Consider the following 15735-nt stretch of genomic DNA (forward strand, 5'->3'; position numbering starts at 1 on the left):
GAGTTCAAGAGCAGCCTGGCCAACATGGTGAAACCTGTCCCTACTAAAAAACATAAAAGTTAGCCAGGCATGGTGGTGCACACCTGTAGTCCCAGCTACTCGGGAGGCTGAGGCAGGAGAATGGCTCAAACCTGGGAGGCAGAGGTTGCAGTGGGCCAAGATTGCACCACTGCACTCCAACCTAGGCAACAGAGTGAGACTCTGTCTCAAAAAAGAAAAAAAAAAGTGCTATTACATACATCAAATGAAATTCTAAAAAGAAGTTCAAGTAACTCACAGAAAGACTGGATAAAAGAAACACATAAATGAAAAACAGAGGCTACAAACACAAAACAAAAATTAAAATAGTTGGCTGGTATCCAAATATATCAAAAGTTTTGTTAAATGATCTAAATATAACAAGCAAAAACAAACTGGCAGAATTGGTTCCAAGATGACCGAATAGGAACAGCTCCAGTCTACAGTTCCCAGTGAGAGCAACGCAGAAGACAGGTGATTTCTGCATTTCCAACTGAGGTACCGGGTTCATCTCACTGGGGATTGTCAGACAGTGGGGGCAGGACAGTGGGTGCAGCCCACCGAGCGACAGCCAAAGCAGGGTGAGGCATCACCTTACCTGGGAACCGCAAGGGGTCAGGGAATTCCCTAACCAAGGGAAGCTGTGACAGACGGCACCTGGAAAATCGGGTCACTCCCACCCTAATACTGCACTTTTCCAACGGTTCTAGCAAACGGCACACCAGGAGATAACATCTCGCGACTGGCTTGGAGGGTCCCACGCCCACAAAGCCTCGCTCATTGCTAGCACAGCAGTCTGAGATCAAACTACAAGGCGGCAGCGAGGCTGGGGAAGGGGTGCCCACCATTGCTGAGGCTTGAGTAGGTAAACACAGCAGCCTGGAAGCTAGAACTGGGTGGAGCCCACCACAAATCAAGGAGGCCTTCCTGCCTCTGTAGACTCCACCTCTGGGGACAGGGCATAGCTGAACAAAAGGCAGCGAAAACTTCTGCAGACTTAAATGTCACTGTCTGACAGCTTTGAAGAGAGAAGTGGTTCTCCCAGCACAGAGTTTGAGATCTGAGAACGGGCAGACTACCTCCTCAAGTGTGTCCCTCACCCCCGAGTAGCCCAACTGTGAGGCAATTCCCAATAGGGGGCGACGGACACCTCACACAGCTGGGTGCCTCTCTGAGACGAAGCTTCCAGAGGAAAGATCAGGCAGCAACATTTGCCGATCTGCAATATTCGCTGTTATGCAGCCTCCGCTGCTGATACCCAGGCAAACAGGGTCTGGAGTGGACCTCCAGCAAACTCCAACAGACCTGCAGCTGAGGGTCCTGACTGTTAGAAGGAAAACTAACAAACAGAAAGGACATCCACACCAAAACCCCATTGTACATCACCATCATCAAAGACCAAAGGTAGATAAAACCACAAAGATGGGGAAAAAACAGAGCAGAAAAGCTGAAAATTCTAAAAATCAGAGCACCTCTTCACCTCCAAAGGAACACAGCTCCTCGTCAGCAACGGAACAAAGCTGGACAGACAATGACTGACAAGTTGAGAGAAGGCGGCTTTAGATGACCAAACTTCTCCAAGCTAAAGGAGGATGTTCGAAACCATCACAAAGAAGCTAAAAACCTTGAAAAAAGATTAGACAAATGGCTAACTAGAATAACCAGTGTAGAGAAGTACTTAAATGACCTGGTGGAGCTGAAAACCATGGCACAAGAACTATATGACACATGCACAAGCTTCAGTAGCCAATTCGATCAAGTGGAAGAAAGGGTATCAGTGATTGAAGGTCAAATGAACGAAATGAAGCAAGAAGAGAAGTTTAGAGAAAAAAGAGTGAGAAGAAATGAACAAAGCCTCCAAGAAATATGGGACTATGTGAAAAGACCAAATCTACGTCTGATTGGTGTACCTGAAAGTGACAGGGAGAATGGAACCAAGTTGGAAAAGACTCTGCAGGATATTTTCCAGGAAAACTTCCCCAACCTAGCAAGGCAGGCCAACATTCAAATTCAGGAAATACAGAAAACGCCACAAAGACACTCTTCGAGAAGAGCAACTCCAAGACACATAATTGTCAGATTCACCAAAGTTGAAATGAAGGAAAAAATGTTCAGGGCCACCAGAGAGAAAGGTCGGGTTACCCACAAAGGGAAGCCCATCAGACTAACAGCAGATCTCTCGGCAGAAACTCTACAAGCCAGAAGAGAGTAGGGGCCAATATTCAACATGCTTAAAGAAAAGAATTTTCAACCCAGAATTTCATATCCAGCCAAACTAAGCTTCAGAAGTGAAGGAGAAATAAAATCCTTTGCACACAAGCAAATGCTGAGAGATTTTGTCACCACCAGGTCTGCTTTACAAGAGCTCCTGAAAGAAGCACTAAACATGGAAAGGAACAACCGGTACCAGCCACTGCAGAAACATACCAAATTGCAAAGACCATCGACACTATGAAGAAACTGCATCAAGTAATGGACAAAATAACCAGCTAACGTCATAATGACAGGATCAAATTCACACACAACAATATTAACCTTAAATGTAAATGGGCTAAATGCTCCAATTAAAAGACATAGACTGGCAAATTGGATAAAGAGTCAAGACCCATCACTGTGCTGTATTCACGAGACCCAACTCACGTGCAGAGACACACACAGGCTCAAAACAAAGGGATGCAGGAAGATCTACCAAGCAAATGGAAAACAAAAAAAAGGAGCAGTTGCAATCCTAGTCTTGGATAAAACAGACTTTAAACCAACAAAGATCAAAAGAGACAAAGAAGGCCATTACATAATGATAAAGGGATCAATGCAACAAGAAGAGCTAACTATCCTAAATATATATGCACCCAATACAGGAGCACCCAGATTCATAAAGCAAGTCCTTAGAGACCTACAAAGAGACTTAGACTCCAACACAATAATAATGGGAGATGTTAACACCCCATTGTCAACATTAGACAGATCAACGAGACAGAAAGTTAACAAGGATATCCAGGAATTGAACTCAGCTCTGCACCAAGCAGACCTAATAGACATCTACAGAACTCTCTAACTGAAATACACAGAATATACATTCTTTCCAGCACCATATTGCACTTATTCCAAAATTGACCACAAAGTTGGAAGTAAAGCACTCCTCAGCAAATGTAAAAGAACAGAAATTATAACAAACTGTCTCTCAGACCACAGTGCAATCAAACTAGAACTCAGGATTAAGAAACTCACTCAAAACCGCTCAACTACATGGAAACTGAACAACCTGCTCCTGAATGAATACTGGGTACATAACGAAATGAAGGCAGAAATAAAGATGTTCTTTGAAACCAATGAGAACAGAGACACAACATACCAGAATCTCTGGGACACATTTAAACCAGTATGTAGAGGGAAATTTATAGCACTAAATGCCCACAAGAGAAAGCAGGAAAGATCTAAAATTGACACCCTAACATCACAATTAGAAGAACTAGAGAAGCAAGAGCAAACACATTCAAAAGCTAGAAGAAGGCAAGAAATAACGAAGATCAGAGCAGAACTGAAGGAGACAGAGACACAAAAAACCCATCAAAAAAATCAACGAATCCAGGAGCTGGTTTTCTGAAAAGATCAACAAAATTGATAGACCGCTAACAAGACTAATAAAAGAGAGAAGAATCAAATAGATGTGATGAAAAATGATAAAGGGGTTATCACCACCAATCCCACAGAAATACAAGCTACCATCAGAGAATACTATAAACACCTCTACACAAATAAACTAGAAAACCTAGAAGAAATGGATAAATTCCTAGACACTTACACCCTCCCAAGACTAAACCAGGAAGAAGTTGAATCCCTGAATAGACCAATAACAGGTTCTGAAATTGAGGCAATAATTAATAGCCTACCCACCAAAAAAAGTCCAGGACCAGACAGAATCACATCCAAAGTCCACCAGAGGTACAAGGAGGAGCTGGTACCATTCCTTCTGAAACTATTCCAACTGATAGAAAAAGAGGGAATCCTCCCTCACTCATTTTATGAGGCCAGCATCATCCTGATATTAAAGCCGGGCATAGACACAACCAAAAAAGAGAATTTTAGACCAATATCCCTGATGAACATCGATGCAAAAATCCCCAATAAAATACTGGCAAACTGAATCCAGCAGCACATCAAAAAGCTTATCCACCATCATCAAGTGGGCTTCATCTCTGGGATGCAAGGCTGGTTCAACATATGCAAATCAATAAACATAATCCAGCATATAAACAGAACCAAAGACAAAAACCACATGATTATCTCAATAGATGCAGAAAAGACCTTTGACAAAATTCAACTGCCCTTCATACTAAAAACTCTCAATAAATTAGGTATTGATGGGACGTATCTCAAAAAGAGCTATCTATGACAAACCCACAGCCAATATCATACTGAATGGACAAAAACTGGAAGCATTCCCTTTGAAAACTGGCACAAGACAGGGATGCCCTCTCTCACCACTCCTATTCAACATAGTGTTGGAAGTTCTGGCCAGGGCAATCACGCAGGTGAAAGAAATAAAGGATATTCAATTAGGAAAAAAGGAAGTCAAATTGTCTCTGTTTGCAGATGACATGATTGTATATTTAGAAAACCCCATCATCTCAGCCCAAAATCTCCTTAAGCTGATAAGCAACTTCAGCAAAGTCTCAGGATACAAAATCAATGTGCAAAAATCACAAGCATTTCTATGCACCGATAACAGACAAACTGAGAGCCAAATCATGAGTGAACTCCCATTCACAATTGCTACAAAGAGAATAAAATACCTAGGAATCCAACTTACAAGGGATGTGAAGGACCTCTTCAAGGAGAACTACAAACCACTGCTCAACGAAATAAAAGAGGACACAAACAAATGGAAGAACATTCCATGCTCATGGAGAGCAAGAATCAATATCACGAAAATGGCCATACTGCCCAAGGTAATTTATAGATTCAATGCCATCCCCATCAAGCTACCAATGACTTTCTTCACAGAATTGGAAAAAACTACTTTAAAGTTCATATGGAACCAAAAAAGAGCCCGCATTGCCAAGACAATCCTAAGCAAACAGAATGAAGCTGGAGACATCACACTACCTGACTTCAAACTATACTACAAAGCTAGAGTAACCAAAACAGCATGGTACTGGTACCAAAACAGATATATAGACCAATGGAACAGAACAGAGGCCTCAGAAGTAACACCACACATCTACAATCACCTGACTTTTGACAAACCTGAGAAAACAAGCAACGGGGAAAGGATTCCCTATTTAATAAATGGTGCTGGGATAAGTGACTAGCCACATGTAGAAAGCTGAAACTGGATCCCTTCCTTACACCTTATACAAAAATTAATTCAAGATGGATTAAAGACTTAAATATTAGGCCTAAAACCATAAAAACCCTAGAAGAAAACCTAGGCAATACCATTCAGGACATAGGCATGGGCAAAGACTTCATGACTAAAATACCAAAAGCAATGGCAACAAAAGCCAAAATAGACAAATGGAATCTACTTAAACTAAAGAGCTTCTGCACAGCAAAAGAAACTACCACAAGAGTGAACAGGCAACCTACAGAATGGGAGAAAATTTTTGCAATCTACCCATCTGACAAAGGGTTAATATCCAGAATCTACAAAGAACTTAAACAAATTTACAAGAAAAAAAACAACCCCATCAAAAAGTGGGCAACGGATATGAACAGACACTTCACAAAAGAGGACATTTATGCAGCCAACAGACACATGAAAAAATGTTCATTATCACTTGTCATCAGAGAAATGCAAATCAAAGCCACAATGAGATACCATCTCACACCAGTTAGAATGGCGATCATTAAAAAATCATCAAACAATAGCTGCTGGAGAGGATGTGGAGAAATAGGAAAACTTTTACACTGTTGGTGGGAGTGTAAATTAGTTCAACCATTGTGGAAGACAGTGTGGAGATTCCTCAAGGATCTAGGAGTAGAAATACCATTTGACCCAGCAATCCCATTACTGGGTATATACCCGAAGGATTATAAATCATGCTGCCATAAAGACACACGCACATGTATGTTTATTGTGGCACTATTTACAATAGCAAAGACTTGGAACCGACCTAAATGTCCATCAATTTTCAACTGAATTAAGAAAATGTGGCACATATACACCATGGAATACTATGCATCCATAAAAAAGGGTGAGTTCATGTCCTTTTCAGGGACATGGATAAAGCTGGAAACCATCATTCTCAGCAAACTATCACAAGGGCAGAAAACCAAACACCACATGTTTTCACTCATAGGTGTGAATTGAACAATGAGAACACTTGGACACAGGGCGGGGAACATCACACACCAGGGCCTGTGAGTGGATTAGGGGGGGCTTGGGGAGGGATACAATTAGGAGAAATACCTAACGTAAATGACGAGTTGATGGGTGCAGCAAACCAACATGGCACATGTATACCTATGTAACAAACCTGCACGTTGTGCACGTGTACCCTAGAACTCGAAGTATAATTTAAAAAAGTTTAAAAAATAAATAAAAGAAATAAGATATTTATACATGTTCATATGTATAGTATATAAAAACCAATCAACAATAGTAGACAATGACTGAAGTACTAAAATGAAGTAGATAAGGCTTTTCATGGATTTATGACACCATTTTTATACTTGGCCTCAAATCTTTTTTTTTCTTTTTTTTTTTTTTGAGAGGGAGTTTCACTCTTGTTGCCCAGGATGGAGTGCAATGGCGCGATCTCTGCTCACTGCAACCTCTGCCTCCTGGGTTCAAGCGATTCTTCTGCCTCAGCCCCCCAAGTAGCTGAGATTACAGGTGTGCACCACCACACCTGGCTAATTTTGTATTTTTAGTAGAGAAAGGGTTTTACCATGTTGGTTAGGCTGGTCTCAAACTCCTGACCTCAAGTGATCCACCTGTCTCGGCCTCCCAAAGCGCTGGGATTACAGGCATGAGCCACCACCCCCAGCCTTGGCCTCAAGTCTAATGTTACAACTTACTCAATCATTTATTGATTGCTGTACTCAGTTCACTAGTACATCTTAAAAGTGTCAGGGCACATCTCCTACTCTCAAAGAATTTACAGTCTAGTGGAGGAAGGAGACATGTAAACAATTATAGTATAGTGTTCTGGCATTTTAATAGAAGTTGTAAAGTGAAGAGCAGTTCAGTGAGGATGGAGGACAATATAAGGGAGAGAAGCTTTGTAGAGGTTCCAAAGTAAGAGACAACAACTTTCTTTCCTAGAAGTGAGAACCCTACCTTAAGCTAGCTTAAGAAGGAAATCATGTTTTTATTTAAGCCCAATGTCTATTTATTTTTAATAACAAATAACTTTCACATGATTGAAAATTCAAAATACTCAAACTGATATTTGTAGTAAGACATCTCCCTCCTGCCTCCATCCTCATTCATTTGACTAACTTCTCACTGTGTCTCCAGTCACCCAGCACTCCACTACAGAGGCAGCTAATGCCATCAGTGTAAGAGGTAGCTAATGTAATCAGTGTCTTAAACATTCTCCAGATATATTTAATGTGTCATAAGCAAATGTGAATATAGTTTCCCCCTTTTTTGCAAATGTTTTTACTAAGCCAATGACAGTGTTCAAAACATTCCACAGAGTCTAGAGATCCCCATGCCCTCTTCCAGCTTCACCCTCTCTGTCTTAGTCAAGTAGCCTCACTTCACTCACCGATCCTGCCCTGGCAGCATCCATCACCATGTGTTCATTCAACAAATATCTCTTGAATGCCGGGAGTGCCTGGCAATGGGGACGCAGCAGTGAATAAATCAGATAAATATCCCTGCTCTCGTGGAACTCCCTAGTGGAGAGTTCTCTCCATAGCTCTCTAGTAGAGGAAGAAACCAAAATACAACATAAATATTAATATATTAGAAAGTGGTAAGTGCTATGGAGGAAAAAAAAATGAAATAGGGAAGGGGACATGAAGTGCTAAGATGGACAGGAAAGGCCCCACTAAGAAGGAAAAAGGGAAATGGTGCCAAGTGTGTATCTGCAGGAATAATGATCTGAGTCAGAGGAACTTTAAGAGCCAAAGCCCTGAGGCAGGACCCAGCACGTCCAATTGGAAGGACAGCAAGGAAGCTTATGTGGCTGCAAAGAAGAAAAGAAGAGACACAGTCAGAGGGGACCAGGAAGCCAGATGGCACATAATATTGTAGGCCATTGTGAGGTCTTGGCTTTCACCAAAAGGCATACAGAGAGCAATGGGAGAGAAAGATACTGAACCCAGCAGAACCAGCAACACTGCAGGTGCAGGGTTAGCGCAGAGCCAGAAGCACCAAGCGCAGATGTAGTAAATGCAAGTAGGGCATCAGGTGAAGGTTATTTAAGGACCTAAAAATGGTTAGAGATAGTGGAGCCAGGCGGGGCACAGAATAAAAACCCATTTCAACAGGAGGAAAACATAAAAGCAGAAAAGATTCTGCCTACTTCTTGTTGAAATACTCCACATAATCCAGAGAACAACAGACAAGGACTGGAAGGCCATGTTAAAATGCATTTTAAGTTCTCAATTTCTCATTTGCATTGGCAGTAACTTCAATTGCTATAATTATAAACAGCCTTTTATAAAAATTGGCAGTAACTTCAATTGCTATAAACAGCCTTTTATAAAAATTATCTTAGCAAATAAATTTTGACTATCAAAGCTTACTGCTTTTTAAAGACTTTTCCATTGCAGGCACATTTGTTGCCAAGCACTTATTTGTTTTGCCTTTTAGTACTAACATTTTTATCCTTACTCTCATTTCATTGAGAAGTTTCTGGTAGGTTTGGTCGAAGGTAGTAGTTATTATTGTTTTGATAGACATATAAATTGTGCTAGGAAAGTTGTGATTTATTTCAATTCTTCTTTTGCAGATAAATTAATCAACATAATTCCCTCAGTCTTCCAAGCAATTGAAAAAAACTACCATTTTTCTCCCAGTTATTGCTTTAGACCTCTATTTGTTTATAATTTTCTCACCACCTATCGCTTTATCTTTTACAACCTGACTTCTGGTTTCACTATTTCACCAAACTTGCTATCTCTAAAGCTTTCTTCTTTATTTATATCCCTCTAGACTCATCTTTGACACTTATGACCATATTTTTTTTTTTTTTTGAGACAGGGTCTCACTCTATTGCCCAGGCTGGAGTGCCATGGCCCAATCTCAACTCACTGCAACCTCCACCTCCCAGATTCAAGTGATTCTTCTGCCTCAACCTCCCGAGTAGCTGGGATTACAGGCATGCGCCACCATGCCTGGCTAATTTTTGTATTTTTTTTTTAAGTAAAGATGGGGTTTCACCATGTTAACCAGGCTGGTCTCAAACTCCTGACCTCAAGTGATCCACCAATCTGGGCCTCCCAAAGTGCTGGGATTACAGGTGTGATTTTTGAATGGCACTCAAAGCTCATAATCTATGATAACACTCACTCATAGTCTAATGAGAAGAAAAGGACAGCGAATGAAGGCAAAGACCATGGAGACAAAATATGTATACATGAACATAGCCTAAGTGAGAGGCAGAGCTGAGTCACAGCAGGGGCTCAGTTAGGAACGATTTTTATTTTAAACCCAAGAAAAGCCTTAGGAGTCATTTAGGCCAATGCCCTCATTTTATAAGATGAAATAATGAGGTGTAAAAAATGTGTCATGAAGACTTTGTCTGCAAGTGATAGAAAACAGCAACTAAATTTGGCTTAAACAACAGGAAATATATTCTCCCATACAACATGACGTCCAAACATCGTGCATCAAGGAGCTTATAGCTGCTCCTCTCTGCAGTTCTCTTGGCAAGGCCACCTTCCACGTGTTAGCATTAACTTCCAGATGTGAGCAAGATAGCTGCAGCAGTTATCAGACTCAATATGTCTGACATATTGGTCACATCTGGAAGAATATTTCTATTGAGTCTCTTGTCAGTAGCAAAGAAACCTGACCAAGAAGCCCTAAGACTTTCTCTCTTGTCACTTGCCCATTTCTAAAGCATCACTGCCAAGGGAAATGAGATTCCAAGATTGGCTTAGCCTTGGTCTAAGCTTGTAATAGAATCAGTGCTGGGGAGTCAAGGTTAAATAAAGTGACTATAATCAAAACATTACTTATAGGACTGAAATACTTTTATACCTATGTTTGTTCTACTACACTTCTAAAAATTTGCTTCTTTACCTCTGTCCAATGATGGGCTCTTCTTTCTTTTAGCAAACTCCTCTGGGGAGCTTACTTATTTTTTTGGTAATTACCTTAGGTTTCTGTGGAAGTGGCACAGGGTAATGGTAAACACTAATTTTAGAGCCAGGCTGCCTGGGTTCAAATATAGGCCTCCACCAAGTCTAACTGTATGCGTTACCTTAGGCATGTTATTTAACTTCCTTCGTCTTCTATAAACGGGGACGCTAAGAGAATCCACCTCATAGAGATATTGTGAGAAGTACGTAAGTTAATATGTATTAAGTGCTCAGAATGATGCCTGTTACACAAAAGGTCCTCTGTAAGTGTGTGCTATTACTAAGGGGCATCTACTATTTTTGCATGTCCAGCATCTGTTCCCCCATCTTCTGATAAGTGTTTCCATTTTCCTTTGAAGAACCACCCCTCCGCCATGCCATATGATATTAGCATAATTCTAGTCAGTATAAACAGCTCCCAACCCACACTGGGCAAAAGGTGGGCACAATGGCCAAGAAAAGTCAGTCTTACCATTTCCCCCAGAATCTGAATCTTAAGGAGAAGGACTCAAAGAAAACAGTTAAAATTCAGTCTCTCTAATGTCAATGCCTTAAACAGGTTTTTCCTGAGCCTCTGCTTCCTATATTCCTAGAACTATTTTGTCCTTTCAAAAATCTGATTAATAATCCTTCCTTTCATTCTTTTAGCTACCCAATACCCTTTAAAAACCCTTTATTGCTTAAATTAGCCAAAATTGATTTCCATTGTTTGTATAATCACTATGTTGAAAACATAGGACTCCCAAATTAACTCAAAGAGTAACTTTATTTTTGTCTGTCATCTCTTTAAATCTATTCAAGAGCCTAGCTCTTCTCTGGACCCTTCACATAGATAGCATAGAAGTTAAGACAGTGGCTCAAAAGTCAAACTTTTTCTTTTTTCCTGAAATGGAGTCTCATTCTGTTGCCCAGGCTGGAGTGCTATGGCACAATCTTGGCTCACTGCAACCTCCTCCTCCCAGGTTCAAGATACTCTCGTGCCTCAGCCTCCTGAGTAGCTGGGATTACAGGCACCTGCCACCATGCCCAGCTAATTTTTGTATTTTTAGTAGAGACAGGGTTTCACCACGTTGGCCATGTTGGTCTCAAACTCCTGACCTCAGGTGATCCACCAGCCTCAGCCTCCCAAAGTGCTGGGATTACAGGCATAAGCCATTGTACCTGGCCTAAAGTCAAACATTCTGGACTCATTTCTAGCTCTACCTCCCACGAACTCTGTTACTTAATGTCTCTTTGCCTCAGTTTCCTTACCAATAAAATAGGGGAATAACAACATCTACCTCATTAGGATACTGTAAAGCTTAATTTCCCAAACGTAAAATGCTTGGAAGTGTATCTAGCTCATCATAACTCCCAAAAAATGTGAACAGAGCAGATGACAGAAGTGGTCCAATGAGGTCATCTCTCACTGACGTCAGGCCCTGACCATTTTTTGTTTCTATACTTTGGTTCACATCAACCCCCTCCTCTTTTCTAAGTCATTCAAGACATAATTAAAGCAGTGCCACTTCCTCAAGGTCTACATTGATCTACAAAGACTACATTAACCTGATACTTGTAGAAATTATACTCCATAGCAGATACATTAATCTTAACTTCATATCATTTCTATTCTTTTCAAATTATGCTTGGGTATAAATCATGACTCCCCAACAAAAAGAGTGTTTGAATAATAATATATTATTTTATGTCGTTCCTGTTAGTTAACCTAGAGTAAGGCTCACAGTTAAGTCCTTAATAATTAACTTCTGAATGGCTCTCTGAACAGTTAAATGTGTTTCCAATCACATTACTTCTGGGTTTGTAGAGCTGCAAGCCTTTAGGCCTATGCTTTTATTGTATGTGTAAACACACCAAATGGACAAAAGTCTAGAACTTCCCATTTTCTTCCCACATTGACCCACAAACATTGGGTATCCAATAAGTATTCTTAAATATCTACAAAAAGGCTAAAAACTTCAGGAGCTACATATACTAATTATATTAATAAATATGGGAGGAAATTCCAAATGCATCTGCTACAGTGAAGATTTAAAACTATAATACTGAAAGATCCTGTTTTATTTAAAAATATAAAACATGAAAATAAAAAACAGATACACTTACATACTTTTTTCCCTTCTAATACTTTTATTTTTTCAAACAAGAGTAATTCCCAAGAGAATTGTTAATGAAGGACAAAGTTGAGAAAGTGACTATCATATATTTTCATTGTCATTTCTGGAGAAATTCTTATTTTTTAAACTCTGCATAACAACGTACATAATCTTCTCTCTTTGATTCCTCTAAGCATGTGAAAAAAAATATACTTAGAAATAAAAACTTCTGTTGATATCCACAGGTATATCATCTAATATAAAAAGATGGCATGGTTTCATTGCTGTTTGAGTTGCTTTTTAGTGATGTGAAAAAGTCAACTGGGAAAAAGAAACTGAGGAAGACTAGACTCAATTCCATGTGAAACTATCTGTGAAATGGAGATACATAAACTGATTCACTTAACCAATCCTGGGAACAAGCTTATATTACATGTAAATGACAGTTCTATAAAATTCCATACTTTCTGGATTATTATGTTTAGTGGATGTGGTTATTTCAAAATTAAGAAAAAATGCTTTTTGCTAAATGCTACCCACTGTGAAATTTTCAACCAGACCAATTCTTCATTGCTTTTTTCCTATGGGAATACTCAGTCTAGGAGAAAAAGAAAGGGGAAGACAGAGAAAGATAAGATGACAAAAACTATATATCTTACCTGGATTGTGAAAGACAGCCTGGTGCAACCACATTATAATTTTCCTCCTCAGTATGGAGTGCAGTGAGCGCTATCATGTTAACCATCACATCATTTGTGTGGCCTGGGAGCTGGGGAAGTGCTGAAATGATCTTCTCTACTAAGTTGTCTCCATGATGTCCAACTGCTCCTGTTTAAGCAGACAAGATGATGTAAATTCATAAAATGGGAGGAAAAAGCAAGTTGGATAAATGTTTTATCACACACCTTCTATCAAAAATAACATACATTTTTAGTTTCTGTTCAACAAAACTCACATTTTGCCCTTCATACAGCTAATCACATTCACAATCACCTAGTCAACATGTACCTCACAGGTTGTAATTAAGGCTCCATGAGGGCAGAACTCATGTCTGCTGTGGCTAGTACTGTATCCCTAGCACCTAGCGTGTCTGGAATTGGTGAGTTCTTGGTCTTGCTGACTTCAAGAATGAAGCCGCAGACCCTCAACGGTGAGTGTTACAGTTCTTAAAGATGGTGTGTCCGGAGTTTGTTCCTTCTGATGTTCGGACATGTTCAGAGTTTCTTCCTTCTGGTGGGTTCGTGGTCTCGCTGGCTTCAGGAGTGAAGCTGCAGACCTTCGCGGTGAGTGTTACAGCTCTTAAGGCAGCGCGTCTGGAGTTGTTCGTTCCTCTCCTCTGGGGTTGTTCATCCCTCCCAGTGGGTTCGTGGTCTCACTGGCCTTAGGAGTGAAGCTGCAGACCTTCACCATGAGTGTTACAGCTCATAAAGGCATGCACGGACCCAAACAGTGAGTAGCAGCAATATTTATTGCAGAGAGCAAATGAACAAAGCTCCAACAGTGTGGTAAGGGACCCAACCAGGTTGCCACTGCTGTCTCGGGCAGCCTCCTTTTATTCCCTTATCTGACCCCACCCACATCCTGCTGAGTGGTCCGTTTTACAGAGAGCTAATTGGTCCATTTACAGAGAGCTGATTGGTCCATTTTGCAGAGAGCTGAGTGGTCCATTTTGACAGGGTGCTGATTGGTGCATTTACAAACCTTGAGCTAGACACAGAGTGCTGATTGGTGCATTTACAATCCTTTAGCTAGACACGAAAGTTTTCCAAGTCCCCACTAGATTAGCTAGACACAGAGCACTGATTGGTGCATTTACAAACCTTGAGCTAGACACAGGGTGCTGATTGGTGCATTTACAATCCTTCAGCTAGACACAACTTTCTTCAAGTCCCCACTAGATTAGCTAGACACAGAGCACTGATTGGTGCATTTACCAACCTTGAGCTAGACACAGGGTGCTGATTGGTGCATTTACAAACTTTGAGCTAGACACAAAGTGCTGATTGGTGCATTTACAATCCTCTAGCTAGACATAAAAGTTCTCTAAGTCCCCACCCAACTCAAGAGCCCAGCTAGCTTCGCCTAGTGGATCACGCGCCAGGGCTGCAGCTGGAGCTGCCCACCAGTCCTGCACCACGTGCCCACATTCTTCGGCCCTTGGGCCGTCGATGGGACAGGGTGCTGCGGAGCAGGGGACAGTGCCCGTTGGGGAGGCTCGGGCCCCATAGGAGCCCACAGGGGGAAGGGGTGGTGCTCGGGCATGGCGGGCTGCAGGTACCAAGCCCTGCCCCGCGGGGAGGTGGCTGAGGCCTGGCGAGAATTCAATCGTGGTGTGGGTGGGCTGGGAGTGCTGGGGGACCCAGCGCACCCTCTGCAGCTGCTGGCCCAGGTGCTAAGCCCCTCACTGCCTGGACCGGCCGGCCACTCCAAGTGTGGGGCGCGCCGAGCCCACGCCCACATGGAACTCACACTGGCCTGCCAGCGCCGCAGTGCAGGCCTGGTTCCTGCCCGTGCCTCTTCCTCCACATCTCCCGGCAAGCCAAGTGAGCTGGCTCCGGCCTCAACCAGCCCAGAGAGGGGCTCCCACAGTGCAGCGGCAGGCTAAAGGGCTCCTCAAGTGTGGCCAGAGCAGACACCGAGGCCGAGGAGGCACTGAGAGCGAGCAAGGGCTGCTAACACTTTGTCACCTCTCACTAGCACAGTGCCTACATATAGTAGGCATCAATAAGCATTTGCTTAATGAATGAATAAATAAATAACCTGTATCTAGTCAGTCAGGTAAATAGTGTCATAAGATGATACTATCCTGAAATTTTAAAGCTGAATTTTTTTATATTCTTTTCTTTTTCTTCTATTTTTTTTTCTTTTTTTTAGAGGCAGAGTCTCACTCTGTTGCCCAAGCTGGAGTGCAATCATAGCTCACTGTAGCCTTGAACTCTGAGCTCAAGCAACTCTCCCACCTTAGTTTCCCAGATAGTTGAAACTATTCCCAGGATTTGAGATCCTAAATTAAGCCAATTGCTTCAAGGATTTGAGATCCTAAATTAAGCCAATTGCTTCAAGGGCTAAACTTTTCAAGTTACCGGGACCAGAAAATACCAATTCTGTATGATCCTGTGGATTTTATGTGTGTCAGTGTCATTATCATAAGGCATGTAACATCTTCACTTGTCTTTAAGTCTTATATGGAATAAAATGAGAAGCAAGCATTGAGAAGTCTTCATAAGAGCTCAATACATATATTCCGTTAGTTCTGTCCCTCTGGAGAATCCTGACTAATATGCTTATGAAATGAACAGAGATCATTCATACCATTTTTAACACTGTCTTGAGTAACCAGAATTGTAGTGATCTTGCA

General features: G+C 41.4%; 1 protein-coding gene across 8 annotated transcripts in view; it reads right to left on the minus strand.

Annotated features, from left to right (window-relative positions):
- The window catches only part of SCFD2 (sec1 family domain containing 2), a 493080-nt gene that overhangs the window by 466580 nt on the left and 10765 nt on the right, over positions 1 to 15735 (minus strand). For all 8 annotated transcript variants that reach the window (NM_152540.4, XM_017007787.3, XM_047449646.1 and 5 more), the window contains exon 2: positions 13037 to 13205. In NM_152540.4, coding sequence (NP_689753.2) covers positions 13037 to 13205 — 169 coding nt within the window. The remainder of the gene's footprint in view (positions 1 to 13036; positions 13206 to 15735) is intronic.

The sequence above is a fragment of the Homo sapiens genome, chromosome 4 (genome assembly GCF_000001405.40).
Source record: "Homo sapiens chromosome 4, GRCh38.p14 Primary Assembly".
Classification (NCBI taxonomy): Eukaryota; Metazoa; Chordata; class Mammalia; order Primates; family Hominidae; genus Homo; species Homo sapiens.